The sequence below is a fragment of the Homo sapiens genome, chromosome 14 (assembly GCF_000001405.40).
Source record: "Homo sapiens chromosome 14, GRCh38.p14 Primary Assembly".
NCBI classification, from domain to species: Eukaryota; Metazoa; Chordata; class Mammalia; order Primates; family Hominidae; genus Homo; species Homo sapiens.
Window position 1 is genome coordinate 85,943,794 of NC_000014.9, and position 24,240 is coordinate 85,968,033.

Genomic DNA, 24,240 nt, shown 5'->3' on the forward strand with positions numbered 1-24,240 from the left:
TCTGCCAAAGGTATCACAAGCAATTTGCTCTCTAATGAAAATCATGAAAGGACTGTGTCTCATTTTGCAGGCAATTTTTAGTAAAAACCACAAGGGACTGGCATACTGGCATCTTATTTTCAGCTGGTAGGATTAGTTTGTTGAAAAAAAATGTAGAATGCTGAGATTGGAGAGTGGACAGAACTAACAGAGCCCTGGAGAGGAAGCCATTGTGCTCAATTATTGTTTGTGGAATGAATGAGTGAATGAATGACCAAACTATGAAAATCCCCAAAAGGATGTTTGCTGCAATGTTTAAATTAAATCCTCAAGTTGATTTTTTTTAAAAAAATATAACCATGAGGGAGATACCAATGAAGTCACAGCTTGTAAGGTATAATTCTCATTTTATGGTGTCAAATGAGATGGCACCAATGGGAAAATCATTCTGTCATTTAATGAATATATATTAAGTCCATACTGGGTTCCAGGAAATGTACTAGGTTTGTGAGGCACATTTAATAACACTACATATATTGCCCTTCCTTCAGAGAGCTGCAGTATAGTGGAAGAGGTAGGCATTCATCAAATAATCTCTTACAAATACCATTAGAACTTGTGATTAGTACTTTGGAAGAACAGTATAGGGAACTGTGGGACTATGAGGGTAGGTGTGGGGTCTGTCATCTGATTGGGGAAGTGGGGAAGAATGCCATCCTTGAATATATGTGCTGGAGCTAATATATGCAGTTTGAAAAGGCATTAACTATAGTAGGGAGTAGGAAGGCTCATTAGTCTGCTTTCATGGTGCTTATAAAGACGTACCTGAAACTGCAAAGAAAAAGAGGTTTAATGGACTTACAGTTCCACATGGCTGGGGAGGACTCACAGTCATGGTGGAAGGCAAGAAGGAACAAGTCGTGTCTTACATGGATGGCAGGAGGCAAAAAGAGAGCTTGTGCAGGGAAACTCCTGTTTTTAAACCATCAGGTCTCGTGAGATTCATTCACTATCATGAGAACAGCACAGGAAAGACCTGCCACCATAATTCAATCACCTCCTACTGGGTTCCACTCATGACACGTGGGAGTTACAATTCAAGATGAGATTTGGGCGGGGACACAGCCAAACCATATTGGAAGGAAAACGAAGATTCCAAGTCCTGAAGTAGGAGTCATTTTGACTTAGAACAAGTACTTTGTTAAGCTGTGTATAGACTGAACATGTCAAATGGAACCAAGTACAGATGCCCAAGAGTGAGGCAGGCCCAGCATGCCCAGGCTCTGCCTCATTGTCTGAAACAGTGAGACAACCTCAGGCAGACCAGAGGCCAAATCACAGTCCTGCACCACACAAGGGAGCCACTGCTGAGACCTAAGCCAGGTACAACTGTGGCCTCCTACACGGAGGATTTTCAAAATTCCACTTTTAATCCTTACCCATCTTCAGAGCTCATGTGTGAACACATTGGTAACTCTTCCATTTTATTTTATTTTATTTTGATGTGAAGTCCTTCTTTTCTCATAGATTTGCTCCATTTTCTCTATTAGATATCCTGAGAATGGCTCAGTGAGATGTCCTCCCACTTGGTCTGATGGAACACACATCAAATATGCAAATCCATCCATGCAATTTCTCTATCTGAGCTTTTATAATTTTCTATGACTTGAGACAACTCCAGCTTCCTTGTTGGGCATTTGAACCCCTAACAATTTGGCCTCAGCCCGTCTCTTCAGTTTTATGTCTGCAACTTGCTCTATGCAATGTGTAATCACATAACAAAAAATTCCTTTGGTTTTCATAAAAACATAATTTCCTCCCCTCATTTGGTGTGTAAATTACATTCTTCCTGATTAACTTAGCTTCCTTACTCGTCTTCCTTGTCCTTGTCTGCTTGATTTCATTTTACTTTTCAGACTTAGCTATCTTGTATCTCCTCCGGAAAACTTCCCCAGTGGCTAAGTAAGCAGATGTGGATTAGGGATTAGAAACATGGGATTTGGATTGAGGCAAATATGATAGTGAATCCTGGATCTTCCACTTACTATGAAAAAATATTTACCTCAGAGATCATTATAATTGATTTCAACTAGAGTAAGGACAATTGCACCTATATTCTTCAGTGAGAACTCAAGGAGTAACACATTACAAAGCACTTAGCAAGGAACCTGGATATAAAGAATATTTAGGATTATAAATCATGCTGCTATAAAGACACATGCACATGTATGTTTATTGCGGCACTATTCACAATAGCAAAGACTTGGAACCAACCCAAATGTCCAACAATGATAGACTGGATTAAGAAAATGTGGCACATATACACCATGGAATACTATGCAGCCATAAAAAATGATGAGTTCATGTCCTTTGTAGGGACATGAGTGAAGCTGGAAACCATCATTCTCAGCAAACTATCGCAAGGACAAAAAACCAAACACCGCATGTTCTCACTCATAGGTGGAAATTGAACAATGAGAACACATGGACACAGGAAGGGGAACATCACACACCGGGGCCTGTTGTGGGGTGGGGGGAGTGGGGAGGGATAGCATTAGGAGATATACCTAATGCTAGATGACGAGTTAATGGGTGCAGCACACCAACATGGCACATGTGTACATATGTAACAAACCTGCACGTTGTGCACATGCACCCTAAAACTTAAAGTATAATAATAATAAAATAAAAAAAAATTTCATAGTTGGTACTAACAATTATTGCTATTGTTGTTCATCATTGTTGCTGTATAGATGACTATTCTATGGCTCTGATGGAACATTTTTCATGACATTAAGCACAGTAGATTGACAATATATTTTTGCACCCCCATGTTTCACTTCAAACTACAAGATCCTAGGTCACACACCCTGACACATAACAGACTGAAATACAGACATAGATGACGTCTGTTCAGTCTTTGCTGTTCTCTGAACAGCGAATAAACTTTTTCTCCCCCAACTTGATATCCATACTCAGAAAAAGCTCATAACTTCCCAACTCATTAGCTGTGTAGGTGTTAGAATTTCTCCATTAGTGTCAAGGAAATAAAGCCAAATTGAAAGCAATTAGCCAATTGTATTTGGGTAGTTTTTTCCTTTTGGCTCATTTTAAATACAGACAGACTAAATTACCTCTACAGCTTGTCTTTGAAGTGTTGTTGTTTTTTTTTTTCTTTTTTAAATGCACAGATTGTATTTAGGTTATAAATAGAAAAATTGCATCTTTTCAATTTTTAAAAATATGCTGAATTCAATAAAATTATAATGGGTATTTATGAATCCTGGAACAGATAATAAATGCTTTTAGGACAAATTCTTTGGCTAGTATAACATATTAAAAAATAGCTTTTGGTACTAAAAACCTTAAGCCTTTTTTCAACCTTTCTACAAGTCTTCACTAAGCATTGATTCTGTGACATAAGAAACTTAAGAAAACTAAAAGTCATGTATTGACAAAGTATTAAGCCATAGAAGTCAAAAATGTAGACTCAGAGACTGAAATGAAAGCCTTTGATATTTCCTTAGCAAAATTTTGTATATACACTAATGTGTAGCACTAGAAGACTATAAGTGCCAAATTATATATTCCATTTCCTTTGTTAGCTTTATCAGAGATATTTAATTCAGCCCATTTTGGGGTCGCATGTGGGAATGGTTGGTTGGGCTGTGTAGCTCTCTTCCTAGGGGTAGAGTACGTATCTCTCTTCCTCACCAATAAGTATCAACTGCACAATTATTTAGCCATCATTGCCCTTTATGAGAGGGAAAACCTTTTTAAATATTTTTCTGTCACTCATGATTTGAACTGTGGTTTTAATGGATTTTTATTCAGGTTGCTGATGGGTTTTCCAGTGCTATTATGACAGAAACGAGAAGAATGCATTTGTGTGTGTGTGTGTGTGTGTGTATGTGTGTGTCAAGAAGCAAATGACTTTTAGCTGGAAAGAAGTGGAGTCTGAGGAAGATATCTAAAGGAAGAGCACATGAATATCAGGATTTTTCTAGCAGAAAGATGGTCTCAGAGAAAGGACGCTTTATAAAAGAACCTGGCAATAGAGAAAAAAAAAATCTGCTGCAAAAACCATTGTTTTACTGATGAACAGCTTTGTGGAATAAATCTTCTAAGACATTCACTGTCAATCTCTCATTTGTCAAAACACTGTGCCAACCTCCCCCACAGCCCCCTTAAGCCTGTCTCCTAGACAATAGGCCAATGCCATGAGAATTTGCTCTGTGACCCAGTTTCTCTGAGTGAGGCTCATCTATAGTTTATTCTTGAGAAACTAACTGTAAGATCAAAACGACCTCTGAGCACTTAGTGGGGTAGAAGAGAGGAGATTCTGTGTCAAATCTGACTGTGTATGACCCAGCACCTACAACTGAGACGGTGGGGAATGGACACTCCTGATGCATACTTGGTCAGTTACAAATCGTTGTATTAGTCTGTTCTCACATTGCCATAAATAAATACCTGAGACTAATCATTTATTAGAAAAAGACGTTTAACTGGCTCACGGTTATGCAGGCTGTCCAGGAAGCATAGCAGCTTCTGCTTTTGGGGAGGCCTCAGGAAATTTGTAATCAAGGCAGATGGAAACAGGGAAGCCAGCACTTCACATGGCTGGAGCAGCAGGAATAGAGAGAGGAAGAAGGTGCTATACACTTTTAAACAACCAGATCTTGTGAGAACTCACTATCACAAGAACAGCACTGGGAGGTTGGTGCTAAACCATTAGAAACTGCCCCCTCCCTGATCTAATCACCTTCCACCAGGCCCCACCTCCAGCATTGAGGATTAATTTCCACATGAGATTTAGGTGGGGACACAGATCCAAACCATATCAATCATCATCATGGAAATTCATGTATTTTGTACCTCTGTTTACAAATGATGTAGCAATAGTCCATGTAAAGCACAAGAAATATGTGTTATATGAGATATCCTATAGTTTTCTTTACATGATATGAGCATCAGGTGGATGATATATTAACAAAAAAATTAATTTTTCGGTAATTTTAAGAAACTGAAATGCTCACACTTCAGATGTGAGAGAATAATCTACATACTCAAAGTGGAGCAGATTTATGTATTTCACATGCCAGCTGATCATCTCTAGTAAAAATAGACCCCGTTGTATTAGAGACAAATACTTCAAAGAAAATCTTTTGACAATAAAGTACAACTTTCTACTTTCTGACCTAAATCTTCACCTTTCAGTCCTGGAGAGTATTTATCGTAATCTTTTTTTCAGGGTGATGCACCGAACTACCCAGTTCTCTCCCTTAGGAGTTTTCCTCTTTTTTCAAACCTGAGAAGCAAAAGTGCCATAACAATTGTGAAACGATTCAGAAGAAGAATGTCAGCTTTTGACAAGTCAACTTTTATCTCACTTGAAGGGACAGGAGGAAATCAGCAGATGAAAGGAGAATTGATGATTGATGAGGCCTTTGGCACAAAAAGTCATATCTAGGTATGCTGCCCTTTATGGGTCACCCACTTTCTCTCTACTCCACCCATTACTCCAACTCAATGCTCATAAAACACCCCTCTGATAATTAGTCTTGTATAGCCTGTTAATTCGCAAATGATTGTAACTATAGCTCTCTCTTTTTTTCTCTCTCTTGTACATTGGCTCTCTTGGGCTGGCTGTGTGGTACTGAAAGTCTTCAGGGTAGTGATAAGTAACTGGAAAATTCATTTATAAAGAAAAATTAATTCCTTCCCCCATTCATTGGACTGCAGTTTGACTGAATTGAACTAATCAATGATTGGTTTTAATAGAATGTAGGGAACAATCTTACCTTAATAGTTTTTCTTTAAATTTTAAAACTTCTTTTCTTTTTTACCAAGAGTCCCCAATTTTAATGCTTTAGTTAACAATGGTTTATGTAACCCATTTGCAAAAGTCATGTTAAATGTTAAATGTAAATATTGCTAAAAATTATCCTCGAGCTGGTTCAAGATAGCAGACTGAGCACAGAGTTTTACTGCCTCTTATTCCCAAACTCCCTTTGGGACTGTAGAAAGTTATAAAAGAAATAAGAACTACAGAAAAATAAGAAATCAGTAGACCAGAATATTTGACAAAATCTGGAAAATTCCAAGCAGGTGGGCTGATATTAATAGAGAAATTTAGAAACCAAAACACCGGCAGTAAGTACAATATTTACCTAGGGAGCCCTCAAGGCACTCAAATCTGAGCTAATTGCACAAAGGACAGACTTGGGACACAGGACAATTATGAGTGTAATTAATTAAAGAACTCTATCAGGAATAAGTGGGACAGTTAAAATTTCACCCTTCAATTACCCTCTCTCCTATCTTCTATTATGTAAAATGGCAGTATTGTAGTCCCAAAATAAAAATATATTAACTCTTCTTTATAGAAAGGAGATGGATCCATAAAGATAGACTCAACATATTTCCGATGAAGTACATTATTCAGAGTATGATCTCTAACCACAAAGGGATTAAGCTAGCATTTATTTATTTATTTATTTTTAAACGATAACCTCCAAATCCCAAACTCCATAGAAATTAGGATACCTCTAATTATTCCAGGGTCAAAGAAGAACTCAAAATGCAAATTGAAAATGTTTAAAATGAAAGATAATGAAGCTATAAAACATTTTAAAGTGTGGAATACAGGTAAAGCAAATTTTTGAAAGAAATTTTTAGGCTTAATCATATATATTAGAAAAACTATCAAGGCTAAAAATCAGTGGTTGAAATATTCATTCCAAAATTCTGGAAGAAGTAAGTCAGATGAAACCAAAGAATGTACAAGACAAGTACCAAAAAGAAAAAAAAAATCAATGCAATTTAAGATAACTATGCTATATATAAAAACAAAGCTAAAAGTTTAATCATTGAACATACCAATGAAATAAATAAATCAGTAGGAAGAATAATCAAGAAAATAATAAAATCATGAATTAGAAATACTAGACATGAAAAAGGGTAATGAATAATTATAATGTCAAATGATGAAAGAAATATATATATATATATATATATATATATATATATATATATAGCATGACCAACTTCATAATAGCAAATTTTATAATTTGGATGAAATAGAAAACTTTACCGAATCATACAAGACTGAGAGAAATTCAATAGAAAATTTGATTACTTCAGTATTTGTTTAAAAATTGAATGCCTAATTTGAAATCTTCCACAATAAAACCTCAGGACAAGATGGCATTTCCAAAGAACAACACGAATCTTACCTAAACTTACACAGGAATAGAAAAAAGGGAGTAATTTCTGGCTCTTTTTTATAAGGCTAACATAATTTTTATTCTAAATATTGACATTTTCTTTTCAAGGAAAAAAGGATATATTATTGACAGATATTTCATAAGATCTAAAATGTTGAAATGTAGCTATCTGTTAAAAATATAAATAATAATATTATTTATCACATTAGCATTATTATTATCAATAAAATTTACCACATTAACAGAAAAATGAAACATAAATTGATCATTTTAAGAAATATGCAAAAGGCAAAATCATTTGACAGTATCTAACACATATTCATGGTTTTTTTGAAAGCATTAGAAAATTAGGAATATAGATTTTTATCCATCTGAAAAAGAATAGCTCCAAAAACTTGCAGCATATATTATGCACAAAGGTGAAATATTGACACCTTTCCCTAGAAATTGGAAAAAATAAATGAGTGTCCATTATCGGCACTTCTAGTCCACATTTTTGTAAACCAAGAAAAAGGAAGAAACAAACATTTTAGAAGAAAAATCATAGCTGCCAATATTTATAGATTATATTATTATGCAGATTGATAAAGGAGTCTGTAAACTATTAAAAAATAATATGTTTAGCAAATTTGTTGGATACAAATAGGCATTTTAAAAATCAAATATAGCTCTATATACTAACATTAAATACTTAGGTAATAAATTAATGAGTAACCATAAAAAACATTTAATATCTAGTAATAAATTTAACACTAGTTTTGAAAGAACCCCACCTCACCACCACACACATATATAAAAATCTATTGTTTAGAGAAATTAAAGAATCTCAGTAAATAGAGGGATGTGCAGTTTTCATGGATTCAAGCCTCAATATTGTAAGAATGTTAATTATCTCTAAAGTAAACCTCAATTAAATAAATTCTCAATAAAGAATTCCATCAGGGTATTTTACAGAAATTGACAAGCTTAATTTTAATTTTTAAGAAATGCAATTAACCAAAAATAGCCAGGTCAATCTTAAAGAAGAATGAAGTTGAAAGACCTATACTAACAGATCTGAAAAACTCTTATAAAACTATGCTTATTAAAACAGTGTGTTATTGGCAACAAATGGATAAACTGACTTTTAAAAGCAACTGGAGAGTACCAAACAAATTCAATCACATTTCCTGAACACATCAAAGTCTACATTAGTACAATGTTGTACCGAATTATTATAAATTGTACAATATATGTTGCTGTGTCAATTGGATAGTCATTTGAATAAAAATGATTCTGAACATTTATTTCAACCATAGCAAAACCGGTTTCAAATTAATTGTTGGTCTAAACATGAAAGATAATATAATAAAACTTTTAGAGGAAAATGTAGAAAACATCTTTCTGACCTTGGAATAGGCAAGACATTTCTTGACCAGAAACAGAAAATGATAATCATAAATGGTAAAATTGATAAATCGGATTATACTAAAATTAAGAACTATTTTTCATCAAAAGATACTATTGAAAGTAAAAATCAAGGCTCAGAGAGGAGATATTTGTAATATATATAGCTAATATTGAACTCAAATGCAAAAATATATCTATCTATCTTAAAAGAAGCCTTCCATATCAGAAAAAAAAGACTGACAACCCAATAGGAAAACAACAACAACAACAACAACAAATGAGCTCAAAACTTCACACAGGATAGCCAAATGGCAAATCAACATATAAAAGGTGTTCAACTTCATTAGCTGTCAGAGAAATGTGATTCCATATTCAACCATCAGATATCTACAATGTGAAAGACAATAAAATACCCAATGTTGGCAAGAATATGAAGCAAATTGCAGCTCTCATAATTGTTAGGGAGAGTAAAATCACTTTGGAAAGCTATTTAGTAGTATCTGCTGAAACGGAATAATTTCATACTCTATGATCTCGCAATTCCAGTTCTTAGTGTATACTGAGAAATGTTACATATGTTCATGAAAAAGAAAAAACTAGAATGTTCATAACAAAACTATTGTTAATAGTCCCGAGCTGGAGTCTATTCACATGCCTGCTGAGAGAAGACTAGATACTTTAAAACACAACAGAATACTATTCAGTAATGAGATTGAAAGATTGAGAATGACCTAGAATGATAGTAAGGATATCCACAATACGGATAAATCTTACAAAGCTAACATAGAACAAAAAAAGTGAGACACAAAAGAAGACATACTACAAGCTAAATAAAATAAGGTTTTATTTAGGATGTCAGGATAGTCAATACCCTTCATGGGAACAGGAAGCCTGTAACGTTGATAAGTGTTTATTAGAATTTTTCTTTACGTCTATAGGTGACACAGAAGGCTAAAGAGGTATACAGAAGGAGAAATGTTTCTCCCCCAGGAGGGTTAATTCTCTGGTAAAGTCTTCTCCACAGTGGGGCAGACTCAGCAACAAACCATTAACACAAATTAGCCAGGAAATGCAAGACTATGTGGCTAAGGATTTATTCTGGTTACGCCCTTATGATAAATGTGGCTATAAAAATCTGTACTTTCTGATCTGGTTGTTTCTTTAGGACAGACAGTGTCTGAATATATCCTTACTATAAATTGCTAGGATGAAAGTTTCTGGGTTAAATTGTATAATATTTAACACTCTTAGTGACTATTGTTTTAAAGACTGAGACCAAGGCATACAGTACTCTCTCTCTCCATCACCTCCTGATCCGGCCAACTTTCCCATTAAGGAGGGGAACTTGTGTAATTCACCACCCAAGCACCTTTTCATAGCTACTTCTCTTTAATACCCATCTTTGCCTCCTGTCTAAACTGCTAAATTTGCTTTTTGTTTACTACTGGGCTCTTGTAGTTCCATCTTTAACCAACTTAGACACATTTTTTGTAATGCAGCTTTCAATAAATGACATTACTTTTTAGAAATCTAGATAAATACTCACTGTAGTCCAGTGTCTGTAACTTTCACATGTGTTTTAAACTAAACTTCTTTATTAAGATTGTCCAATGAGTTATTTCCCCTTAAAATGAAAATAAAAATCACATCCAACTGATTCTACCTTTCCCAACTGACATGAAATGAAGCATACAAATAAAAGACTAAAAGAGAGTCAGGTCCACGTCTTAGTTCTGCTAAAACTCTTCCAGAAAGCCAGCAGCATCCCTGTTCATGGGTCTCTGATGCATGACTTTACTTATCATCAATTAGCCAGCTCTTGTTTGTTCCTGTATTTACCAAGAAAAGAGTTCTGACAGATATTAAGAGCTGATTAAGAAAGTGAAGTGAGTGAGGGAGCAGAAGGTTGGAAGCTTGAAATAGTGAACAAGACAAGGATGAGGACAGCAGGAAGGACTGGGAAAAGAGGGCCGGGTGGTGAAGATACGGTGGAAGATGGATCCAGGTGAATCATAGGAAGAGATACAGAAGCTCCTGGCTTTTTCCCAAGTGTGTGCAAATCCAAGGGAGTTTAAACATCTGAGATTCTTCAATTACAAAAGTCTGACTGAGCATCTGAACCTCTCTATTGATCCAGACCCTACTCAAGGAGAGCACAAAACTTCATTTTGTCATTTGGGATTTTAAGTTTTCAATCTCTAAAAATGGCTGGTCCAGAGTATAGCTAAGGTCTATGTATGGTCTTCATATTCGTAGATAATTTGTTTTAAAACTCCAGTGAGCACATGGGCTACTTTTTATGCTTTTCTGGGGGTCTTTATCTTGGTACTTATACAGTGTCTGGCATTCTTTAGGTAATTGTGGCTGATATGCTTTAATTCTTTTCCACATGCAAGTGGAAAGAAAAAACAATTGGAGGAAAGACCTTAGACAAACATTTGGTTTTTGTTTCCTCTATTTTGTGAAGTCTTCCACATTCTGCATGGAACATGACAGCAGTCCATGCAGGGACAATATGCCTTTCACACAGACAGGACTGAAAGAATTCCCAGCAGAAGTTCAGAACTCAACTCCAAGCTGTTGTTAAGCACTAAACCAATGGAGGCCCTTACTCTTGGCAACAATTTGGCCTTTTTCCCAAGATACTGCCCCCATTTTTCTTTTCAACCACAAACTAGGACTGTGGTTCAAAATAGAAAAGCACACTTAAAAAATAAACTGAAGCCATTGAGTGGGTTTCATTATATTGTAGAATCTTGAGACCCTTTGATACAAAGACAGGTTTCAATACAGCATAATTGGAAACATTTTCTAGGGGTAGAAACCAGACCAATTCTTATATTCTTTTACTCAAGGGGTCTCTGAACATTTTTGATGGCAATATTTATTCTATTCTATTTTGTAACTCTTTCATTTGCTGATATTACAGAGAAACTAATCAGAAATAGGGAAACATATTTAATTGCTCATTTTATTAGTTTCCTTGGGCTGTCATAACAAAATGCCACAGACTGGGTGGCTTAGACCACAGAAATTTGTTTTCTCACAGTTCTAGAGGTTAGAAATACATGATCAATATGCCGCCAGAGTTGGTTTCTGATGAGGCCCCTTTCTGTGGCTTGCAAAAGGCTGCCTTTTCATGCGGCTGTCCCCCTGTGCTGCACACTAGGAAAAAGCTGTGGGCTCTCTTCCCCTTCTTATAAGGATATTAGTCCTATAGGATTAAGGCCCCATCCTTATGACTTCAGGTAACCTTAATTGCCTCCTTAAAAGCCCTGTCACCAAAGCCAGTAACACTGGGGGTGAGAACTTCAAATATGAATTTGAGAAGGATATAATTAAATCTATAACACTGATATTTAATTAAATCTTTTTAAAAGCAGCAATAGAGTAAAAAGTGGATTATTTACCTATAGTTTTTTTTTTTTACATGTTTGGCTTTAACATAGAAAATTTTAGATTCAAATTTACTATCTTTCGATAAATTTCGAACTTTGTAAATCTATGTTCAATAAAGTATACTGCCTTTAACATTAACTAAGCAACATATAATTATTAAACTTGTCTCCAACAGTTCTCTTATAAGATCGAAGTTGAATAGAAGTAATTCTTATGTTATCCTGAGTTGACAAGTTGTATTAATCTGTTCTCACACTGCTGTAAAGATACGACCAGAGACTAGGCAATTTACAAAGACAAGAGGTTTAATCAACTCATAGTTCTGCATGGCTGGGGAGGCCTCAGGAAACTTACAATCATGGTGGAAGGTGAAGGAGAAGCAAATACCTTCTTCACAAGGTGGCAGGAAAGAGAAAGAGCAGGGGAAACTGCCACTTATAAAACCATCAGATCTCATGAGAACTCACTATCAGGAGAACAACGTGGTGGTCACTGCCCCCGTGATCCAATCACCTCCTACCAGGTCCCTTCTGTGACGCATGAGGATTACAATTCGAGGTGAGATTTGGGAGGGACACAGAGCCAAACCATATCACAAGTATTAAACAGTAAGAAAATATTTTGGTGTTCATTTCCTTGAGACTAGTGAGAGGTGAAGATGGACAACTTGACACTGAGAAATAAAATTTAAAAATTAAACCTTGTGTGTACATGTACACACGTGTGTGTGTGTGTGTGTGTGTGTGTGTGCGCGCGTGTGTGGCCATTTAGTGTAGGGGCCAAAAGTCCCTATAAAATCCTAAAAAAAATTATTTAATATTAATTATCCTTTTGGGAAAATCAAGTCAAAATTAAATTATGATTTAGAACAGGGGTCTCCAACCCCTGGGCCAGAGACCAGTACCAGTCTGCAGCCTGTTAGGAACCAGGCTGCACAGCAGGTGGTGTGTGGTGGGCAAGCCAGCAAAGCTTCCTCTGTATTTACGGCCACTCCACATCACTTGCATTAGTGCCTGAGCTCTTCCTCCTGTCAGATCAGTGGCACCATTAGATTTTCATAGGAGTGCAAACCCTATTGTGAACTGCACATGCAAGGGAAATAGGTTGCACACTCCTTATAAGAAGCTGATTCCTGATCCTGTGTCCCTGTCTTTCATCACCTCCAGATAAGACTGTCTAGTTTTAGGAAAACAAACTCAGGGCTCCCACTGATTCTATATTATGGTGAGTTGTGTAATTATGTCATTATATATTACAACGTAATAATAATATAAATAAAGTGCACAATAAATGTAATGCACTTGAATCATCCCCCACCCCCAACTGGTCCCTGGAAAAATTGCACTCCACAAAACGAGTCCCTGGTGCCAAAAAGGTTGGAGACCACTGATTTAGAGCCTTCAGTTCAGGCAGCTGGAAATATGTGAAATACATTTAAAGAAAAAAAAATCCCAACAGACTTTGAAATAAGTAAAGATATCATTCAACTCTCTGAAAAGCATGAATTACAAAAAAATTCATTCTCCAATAATGCTAGAGAAACAAGTATTTTATATCAAAATAAATTGATGAAACCACTACTGCTTTCAAAGTAGTGTTTCTTTCAAACTATGGATTGATACTGTTGACTACTAAAAACATTCCCTATGTCTTAATTTTGTTATTATCATAAACAGAAAACCACATAGCCAATGTTTCAATATTTGATGTTTTTATATTTTTCATGGAGATATTGTAGCATCTGTTGGATATTTCTTGAGTAACTTCAATTTATATCTGGTGTAATTTCCTCTAGATAAATTAACTATGTAATTTATAGTACTTTAGAGTTGATCTAAATTAAAATCATCTTATTTCTCTCTATCAATGCTCAGTGGAAGCTGCACTTAATGGTTCAAACTTCATTTCTGTCTTCTAACCAAAATGTGCTTGTCTTTTTGCTCTGAAAACCTCAAGATGATTTAAATTCCTGAATAACAGGTAGGAAATGTTTTAGGTGGTAACACTGATTATATGCTTAGGAAGTATGAGTTGGAAGTACTAGTAAATGGGGAAAATGGTTTCATAGCTGCAATATTTGTATACTTTGTTGCTGTACTTTCTCCAGTGAAATGACTTCTGTTGTGCTTAACTATTGGATTATTTTGAGTGATTTGCAATATTCAAGATAAAATGAAGTTGTTACCACCATGAAATTCTAGCCTGGAAATTGAAAGAAAAATCTCTTGAATTCATAGAACTGGAATGCGGGTGGCATTTAAGGCCCTTCAGTTGAGAAAATTGTTTTGGTCAGCAAAGCTGGGCTCAGTTTAGAGTAAATATAATTTGGAATAAATAAATCTCTTTCATAAGCAGGCTCAGAAGGTTGGTTCTAGCACCAAAGTCACTATGGAGATTTTCAGGCCTGCAAAAATAATGCTCTGTTAAATTTATATCTCGTTTACATTTTGTAAGCCATTAACTTGGCTCTAGGAGGCACTGTTGCAGATAGATGCCAATTTAATGAGGCAATTAACTCAGAACCTTGTTCCTGCCATGCTTTTGGCACAGATGCCTACACAACTGCAGGAAAACTTACAATTTTGGTTGTTCCACAAAAACATTATGTAGAATAAAAGAATGTTGCTACTGGTGTCTTTTTATTATTTGGACAAGTTTTTTTCATGTATACTTTTATCTTTTCTCTCCCCCATCATTCTAATATAGAGTTTAATTGTATCACATTAACTTTCAAATAGCTTATAATTTTACAGGTTGAGAAGGTAACATATGATGCCACAGTTCTCATGGTTTTGTCCACATTCAATTCACCATCTAGAATCATAGATCTTTTTTTGTTTTGTTTTTGAGATGGAGTCTCGCTCTTGTCGCCCAAGCTGGAGTGCAATGGCGCGATCTCAGCTCACTGCAAACTCCACCTTCCAGGTTCAAGCGATTCTCCTGCTTCAGCCTCCAGAGTAGCTAGGATTACAGCCGCCTGCCACTAAGCCCAGCTAATTTTTGTATTTTTAGTAGTGACGAGGTTTCACCATGTTGGCAAGGCTGGTCTCGAACTCCTGACCTCAGGTGATCTGCCCGCCTCGGCCTCCCAAAGTGCTGGGATTACAGGCATGAGCCACCATGCCCAACCTAGAATCACAGATCTTTAGAGAAATGTATGACCAAGGATCCTCTGCCCCCCGATATTTCATTTCCAAATGGGGAAGGGCTCAGGTGGAAGAATGGTGTGCAGCACTACTTTTTCAAACACAACCCCACGGGCATTGTCTGAATTCCATACTTTTCCTGCCCTGTACACAGTGTCACTAATAGCTTTCCTGTCTTTTTTTTTTTTTCTCCCTATCACATCAGCTTGGCTATAAATACTAGTTCCCTAAATTCGATCTTTATTTACTTGCTAACTGTCCACTTCAGTAGGATCTCATCTGCATCAGGCCAGGGATTTTTGTCTATTTTGCTTATTGCTATAGTCATCAAATATAGAATAGCGCCTGGCAAATAGTAAGCATTCAGTAAATATTATGTGAATTGAAAAGAGACGGAAAAACCTCTAAGAAGACTGCCTTTCACCAAGAGATCATTTTCATCAAAAATCATCCCACAGTTCCTTACAGATTCCTCTCTTTTCTGTTCTAAAGTAAGCCCCTCTTCACATATTTCATGAAAATATACACCCACCTCACCCGCTGAAAGTGTCTGTTGAAGTCAAACAGTCCAGAGTTTAAATCTTAACTCAGTTGTCTACTTAGCTATGTGGATCCATAAGTCACATAACATCTATGAACCTGAACCTCAGTTTTGTAATCAGTCATAAATATGATTGACTTGCAGATATGGTATAAGATTTAGAGATAGCCAAGATCGCAAAACCTAGGCATCTGTGAGAGGCTCAAAAGGGAAAGGTAGTTATTGCTATTCCTTTTATTATTACTGGAAAGTATTTTAATGTTCTTAATAAGAACAAGATTTAACTGATTTTTATTAATTACCTACTTATTTGAAGGTGTTTTTTTTAGGCTCTGTCATAGTGATGTTTACTTTTTCCTCTTGAAAGATGCTAGGGTAGAGGCAAATCATCATAATCCAGTTTGATTTGTGGGGGCGCTGGTTTCCCTCTCTTCTTTGGATATAATACTTCAGGGTCTCCACGGAAACTGATAGTGTTTACCAGGATTCCTCCTCCATGTTGAGCCCTGATTTCCAGGTTTTGTCCCCTTGAACCCTTAACAATTTTGAGAACTGCTTTCTTTGCTTCTCAGTATTGAGACCCCACACTTGTGGGTTAGCAAATGCCCCAAAGGGAAAAGCTACACTGGTTGTTGAGCAAACACTTGAGCTTTCCTTTTCTTCAGAACTTATATCTCTTAAGTTCAGGCTGTCTTGATTTTTCTGCAATGCCTTCAGTCAAATTTTGTAAAAAATATTTTCCCTAACTCTTCTTGTTTTTCTCATTGTGAGAGTTGGTCTGTAATAGTGTATCTGCCAATACCATAAGAAAAATCTGTAATATTAATATTTAGAAGTGATATATTATTATTCACAAGTGTTTTTCTCAAAATCATCACTATTTTGAAGCAATAATTCCATATCACCTTTAACGTTTGTAATTTGGTAAATTTCACAAAATATGCTCTGAGACCACAGATTATGCAGCTGAATTTCTAAGTAATGTTGGTCACTCATTGTAATCAATGTGTTTGAAGCCCTTCTATTGTCTTACTATCATTGAACTTCAATTTACATCTGCATTTAAATATCCCATATTTCACCCAAGCCTATTTAAAAAATGGGGTAGTATATTACATACAAGTGAATCAAGGACGATTTGTGATAATATTGACCAGGTTGCCTCTCTGATGCTGGCTGCATAAAAAAGAAGAACCAGCTCTCCTTTGAGATTTGGGGTGAAATGCATCTGTGTGCAGACAACTTTCAGTGCAGATTTGCCTGTACTACTTTATTTATTTAACATGGCTGGCTGACTGTGAGCCCCTCAATGTCAGGCTACATTAGCATGTGTGTACATGTAAAATTAATCAACAGACCCAGCAACTGGCAGCATAGTCCCCCTAGAGCCTGGGGTTAAACATCTGTCTGGAGTGAGGTTTCCTGAAAAGCTTTATATAATGGCCAGAGGAACTCCGAGTAGGCACTTAGTGTGGAAGGAAGGGCAAGACAGATACTTGAGGGGAAGTGCTGGGTTTCAGTGGACTGACAGCCTCGCCATTTTACCCAAAGGTTACAACCTTAGACTCCAAAAGCTTTTAAGGCTTCTTGCTTCTGTATTGCTTGACTGCCTTTAGCATTAAGCACTTATGACCAGGAGATTCTCAGCATATGTCTTTTTCAGCATTTCTCTAATGGAGATGAAAGTGTCTGAATCTTTAAGAAATATTTACCCCATAGATCACAACATTAACTTTGTGATAGGGGGCTGAACTATTTGTTTGTTTTTGGTTTTTTTCATCCTTTTTTACTGTAAAATAGAACCAGTAGGGTTTAGATCTATTTTGAGGTGGCTTAAAACATCAGCAAGTTTTATTCCTAATATTTGACAAAGTTTGTGATGTGTTAGCAGAAAGCATGGTACAATTGAAAGAACATGAGTTTTGGTTGAATCCTGAGCTCTGCTACTTATTAGCTGTGTGACTGAATCTGTCTCCTTGTTCATTGAATCACACCATGCCATCTCCTTAGGGACATTATCTGTCAATCTAGCTGGGCTTATATGGATTGTGTTCTATTTGGAAGGTGCTCTATAAGCTTTGTCACCCTGGAATGAGACTCAAGAGATCACTCTTATTTGGTTGGTTGTTTGTTACCATAAGTAATATGTTTAAAGAAATTGAGTTCTGTATAGATGCTCTACAAATATACAAATTATTAATAGTGGGGTAAAACAAAACTTGAACAATGGCAAAAATAACTCCTTCCACTTAGCTGTTGAAGATTGCTGAAGAAATGTAGCAAAATTACAACAAATCCATCTTAAGGCAATTTATTTAGAATAGAGACATGCATGGGAGAGTTCCCCCAGGGTGGAAGTGAACAGGTGCATCACCAAGTATCAGTCATTTGAAAGTGAGTTAGCTGTCATGGAGTTGAATCCCGGGGTTTCTTGTTCAATGTCTTTGCATTGAATGTCTGAAGGTGCTCTATTAGTGAAATAAGAAAAAAGTGATTAGGATTTATATGTGTTTCCTTAAATTAGTCTGATTTTAAATAACAGACTTTTTTTTTTGTTTTTTTTAAACCTGAAATGAACTCAATTTATACAGTATATGAGATCAACTGTCTTTCTCTGGGAAATGAATGGACTTGCAGTCAGAAGCTTTGAATTTTAACAATATTCTGCTCCTATCACTTGTGACCTTGGGCATGTTAATTAAACTTCCAGAATATCATCTGCCTCATCTAAAATGTGAATTACAAAAGAGATTAACTTCTCAAAACAGCTTCTTGCTCAGAGAGTAGATGAAGCACAGTGTAATATTTAGATTATTTGCTATCTTGATGGTGAAACAGCTAATTGAAATTTGGGGAGACAGTCACAGTCGGGTACAATTGTTGATCTCAAGAGTAAACGTGGACAGTATAGTTGTTTGTAGAATAATGAACCCACTGCAAATGCCCAATTCCTAATCCCCAGAATCTGTCAATATGCTACCTTACTTTGGGCTTTGTTGAGGTAATCACATTAGGGTTCTGAGATGGGGAGATTATCTTGAATTATCCAAGTGAGCTCAATGTCATCACTTGGGTCCTTAAAAGTGGAAGAGGGAGCCAGAAGAAATCAGAGTGATGCAAAATGAAAAGAAATCAATCTGCCATGGCTAGCTTGATTATAGACGGAAAAAGGAGATCTTGAGCTAAGGAATGTCAGTGGCCTCTAGAACTTGAAAATGCAAGGAAATAGGTCTCCCCTGTAACCTACAAAAAGGAATACAGCACAGCTGACATCTTAATTTTAGTCCAGTGAAGCCAGGTCATGCTTTTAACCTACAAAACCATAAAAAAGTAAAGTTGTGTTGTTTTAAGACATTGAGTTTATGGCAATTTGTTACAGCAAAAATTGAAAACTAATACAAGGCCTAACATGGTGACTAGCATACAGAAGCATCTCTATGATTGAAGGAAGGTTTGGATTTGTTGGGTAAATGAATGAATGAATGAATCAGTATGATAAACATCCATATGGAGCTTTTTGAGGAAAATGGCTAAATGGACCAAGAGCTTTTCACTTTCATGCTTCTTATGCATCCTTTACATTTACAATCAAGATTCTCTTCTTTGGGAAGGGTACCTCGCCCTTAAGAGCCCACCTCTCTGCCTATCAGCACGTATGCATGCTTGCCATAGCAGACATGCTGTGATGCAAATACTAGAGTACGAAGCCATCTTCCTAGAATGGAAGTTGTTGGAGAGAAGGATTTTGTCATCTTCATTTCTCTCTCCCAGTGCTCAGCCCAGACTCCAGCCCAAGTCAGAATGTAATAGATAATGGGTGAAAGAATGAATGGAATGAAGGATGGAAACTGGGAAATGACTGAGGGCTCCATTTGTTCAGGTTTGATCAAATACCTTTGAAAATTGAAGCATATTTGAGTACTAAGGTGCTAGGAAGTTTTGAAGAATGCCAAATCCTCAGTGCCTGCTTCTCCAAGTCTGAAGTCTTTGATAAAGCTACTTCTTCCGTTTTTGAACATGTTTGTATTAGTTGTAGTGTGCTAAATTCTGTAAAAAAACAATGCCAACATCTTTGTGCCAGCTTCACACACAGAAAAATTGTTTCTGGTTCACAAAGGTTTTTAAGTGGTGTGAGTGGTATTGGTGGTGATGATAGGAATGTAGCTTCTCTCAGACAATCACATTCATAGGCAGTAGCTGAAAGAGGCTGTCTCTTCATTGCATTAGTTCTCTGGTTTTCCTGGCCATCTATGAATAGTCAAAAATCAGGGAATATAATGAGAGCATTCATACATGCTCTTAACTACACTGGACCAGAAAAAGATACTACATCCACTCACATATCATTATAGAGTGCCAAGATCATGCCCCACCAAAATGCAAGGGGTTGGGAAATGTATTTTAGCTTTATGCAAAGGAGAAAAACAGGCTTTGTGAACATTTTGCCAATTTCTTATTTAGTGTTCCTCCAAAACCACTTTAGTTTTCTGTCCATGTGTAGGAAACAGTAATTTCATCCCCTGGGGAGAAAACCTAATGTCTAATGTAAGGTCCGATGTACTCAAAATCCAGGCTCTTCAGGATTTGAAAATAGTGTTCTCCAGTTGTTCCGATTAGAGTTCCCTATTATCTTGCCTTTAATTTAGCTATATCTAATCTATCAATCAATCTAGCTAGACAGCTACCTCTCAAAAAAAAAAAAAAACTATCTGTATCGAGCAGTACTCTTGGCTACATGGAATTTATCTCCAATGATCAATAATGCAAGTGTCTTACAAAAGCATCTATGGTGCTTACTTCTTTTTCGTCTACACATCACGTAGGCATGAGGTCATCAGTGTGTTAGACCAGCATGACATGATGATATTTACTGTGATGATCAAGATCTCTGTGGCTCCAGCATGGTGCAAATTGGGAAAATTGATCTCAGAGACACAGCAGACAAGAGCTGTCTTATAGGAGATGAAAATTAAAAACAATAAAAACTCTGCTTGTCATGTTTTCTATTTATTGAAATAGAGATAAAAAAAGTCTCTATGCAAATATGAATACAGGTATCAAGTATTTTATATCATTTATGACAACATCCAAGATCGTGGCTGCAATTAGAATTACTACTTGGTTAAGTTTATGGTAATCTGTTGCCGTTTTAAAAAGTCTTGTTCATTGGCCAAATTGGATGATTGATTGATAGATTAGATATAGCTTAATAAAAGATTAAATGCATATATTTATGCAGATAAAGATATACGTAGGTATATATTTGTTGCAGTAAATAAACTTACAAATAAAACATATTTTATTTCAAGGAGTGAGAGCTTAGAAACAGATAAGTAGCATTTATATTCAGGATAATATTACAGATGAATTTTTTATATTAAATAAAAAAACTAGCCAGCAATTCAACAGTGTTGACAGGCACAATCAGCAAGGGATAATATCTAGACATCAACAAAAGAGTTTTGAAACTTTGAAAACAAAGATATTATCTTATGAGCTGCCAGAAAGCAAGAAGTGATGAATTTTGAAGATAAATAATTTTGAATTTCAATACCAAGCCGCTGTTGAAAGAAGAATGTGGGAGAAGTTGAATAAAGATAATTGAATTTATGTCAATATAACTTGGTCAAAATGATTTTTACTTTAAAGGCAGAAAGTGAATGAATTTGAAATTTAGAGACCAAAATAATTTGTCAGTTGGTAATCTCTATTGCAAGGTTTAAAGCAAGAGATTTAGAACTTAAAGAGCAATATAAGTTTAGGGAATACAGTTGGTTTAAATGTTAATATAGGTTTAGTTTTGTTAAGCAAAATACAGTAATAAAAATAAGGCAATATAGCGCAACATGTAAAATATTTTTCAAAACATTTGTAACCAAGATATAATAGAAAAATTTATATAAGGATTATGAAGCAGTATTAAGCTAGTTCCTAAATTTTCTTTAGCAAAAATTAAAAGATTTACTCAGAAAATAGTAATTGAAGAAATAAAACAAAAAAAATTATCAAAAGTTACTTAAAAACTATTTGCTAAAGTATTTGAGAATATGAGGATGCTTTGTAGTATATTTTAAGAAGTGTAATGCAAAAAATAATTTGAGAAATTAAAAAAATTACTGCAAATTTATATAACAATTTCTATGTATATGTATATTCCATCAGCTTCTGGACTTATGTAATTATTCTAGTTGGGAGGAAATAATCTGATCTCATTAAATACCAAATACATTTATAAAAAAATAAGAATAGTGAAAGGTAAATTTCCAAAATTGTTGAGGATTATACACACACACACATGCACATATATATGTGTATACATGTGTATCCATATATACACACACACATACACATGTCTGTATGTGTGTATGTGTGTGTGTATATATGGATACACATGCATACAGTCATATATGCATACATATAAATTATATATGCATATATGTGTGTATGTATGAGTATGTAAGGTTAAATGTAAGTGTGCATATATAAGGGTAAATATACCTTATAGAAACATAAGTGGTGACAGACTAGATTCAGAAAACAAAATTCACATAACTTTGTTTATAAGAGGAAGACACAAATATACTAGAAACAAAATAATAATATAGGATTTACAAGGCTTGTATGGGGATAACAGAAATGCATGCATTCCTAACCATGGAATCAGATAATACATATATAATAGAAAAATTAACTTAAAGAATGTAAAATCATTCTAAAGAATATATAACATACAGTAAGAACTAACAAAAACACTAACAAGGAATGTATATATCTCAAGCAATATAGCACTGAAATATCTTGAGGAAATTGTTAGTAAAGCAAGTAGAATTACTTCTAGATACAATTGCAATTCCAAATTCTAATTTCTAATTAATTTATTTACCTAGATTATTAGACCAATATATCAAGAAAAATGTAATAGAGTAAGTGAGTCTGGACTCCAACAATGTATTGACCAGTGAACTCATAATAACATTATGTTAAGGAAGGAGAAATGTGGCTGGATATAATAAAATAAATTGGGTTTATAAGTGATTGAACAACTGAAACCAAGGGTCTTTGATTAAGAGATTAATATAAAAATTAAGGGAAATTTCAAGAGACATTCCCGGAACACTTTTTTCCTGCCTTCCTCTATGCAACATTTCAAATAATAATTTGGAAGAGTGTATGCTTATCAAATTTGAAAATGATAGAATCAAACTGCCAAACCCATTCATTTGTACTTCTATTTATTCATCTATTCAACATGGTTTAATGATTACTATTTGATGGAATCACTAAACTGGATGAGTGTAAACCTATCAAGATGAAGTTTAGTAAAATTCTCAATATGCTATTTCACTTAGGAATGTAAATTCAAATATATAACTATAGAACTTGTGAAAATGACTTTGAAGCCTATCTGAATGAAATGTTAAATGTTGTAAGTGATAATAAACTCAGTGTCAACCAACTGTGTCTATATATATCAAGAAACCTAATGTGAGCATAGGCTGCATAGATCACTATGAGGAAAAGACTCATTTTGTGGGCAAATAAAGTCTAAGAATAATCAAGAAACATAGTGAAATGCTGTAAAAGTTGCTAAAATAATTTTTTTAAAGTATGTTTCAATGGATTCTCTATAGAATGGCTACAGATGCGTAAAGTATATTCTTTGGATTCTATAAGCAGTTTCAAATATATGCGTGTGTATACATGTATATATAAATTGTTAGAAAAACAGCCAAAATAGCCCTGAAAAAGGAGATTCAAATGTAATTTATGAATTTTGATAAAGTTAAACAGAATTCAATGCATTATTACTCTGAATGATTAAGTAATTTTAGTGAAGAAAGGCAAGACATGTTTAGTTCATACACATTTCTTGCTTTACAATCAAGGAAAATAAATGTTTTAATATGACTTATTATTATTATTACCATTCTGTAAGTTTATAGGTTGAACTCTATCAACCTGGCTGTAAGAAATTCAGTCATATTGTGGGTGAATCTCCCCTGTAGAGTTTGTGAAGGAGGAAAAGGTTATAAGTTGTTTAAAAAACATTTAGAGAAGTGTTTTCCAGGTTGCAGTCATTCCTCATTATGTCTTATAGGCTCACTGCCTAAACATTCATATTTCCTTTAAGGTCTGTGGTTTCATTGCTTCTTTGCCAAGTTTATGTGAGGATTTTGCAATGGCTTCCAAGATCTCAATTTTAATGATCTGGCCTCTACTTTCTTCCCTATCAAATTGCCTGTCACTCTTAAACACTATGTATTGGAGCAGGGAATGAGTCTCCACCATTTAATAAGCTATCTCTGAATTTATGTCTTTTACTTACCTTGAGAAAATTTAGACAAGAACTCTGTCCCTAAATCTACCACTTTCTACCCTTAAAGTCCTCTATTCTTGGACAGTTTGGCACCATCGTTTCTACAAGCGTGTCTTTCAAAAAGAGAAAGGTATCATGTGGCATTTTACTTCTTGGTGCTTGAAGTTTTTCCTTCTGGATCTGTCGCTCTTCAGCTTTTATCAATAGCCACCCCTATCCCCAAGTTTTTAGAGAAGAAAC

The 24,240-nt window shown here is 35.3% G+C and overlaps 1 long non-coding RNA gene across 1 annotated transcript in view, besides 1 other annotated feature; it reads left to right on the forward strand.

Moving 5' to 3' along the window:
- LINC02328 (long intergenic non-protein coding RNA 2328) overlaps positions 1-24,240 on the forward strand; it is a 195,101-nt gene that overhangs the window by 9,116 nt on the left and 161,745 nt on the right. The gene's annotated exons all lie outside the window — the stretch shown is intronic.
- Positions 23,867-24,036: an enhancer, noted in NCBI's record as "experimental_38309 CRE fragment used in MPRA reporter constructs". NCBI's record gives its function as "activates a minimal promoter by MPRAs in K562 erythroleukemia cells, with activity observed for the introgressed 14:86434089 variant allele {active_cell/tissue: K562}" and the evidence as "EXISTENCE:reporter gene assay evidence [ECO:0000049][PMID:34662402]".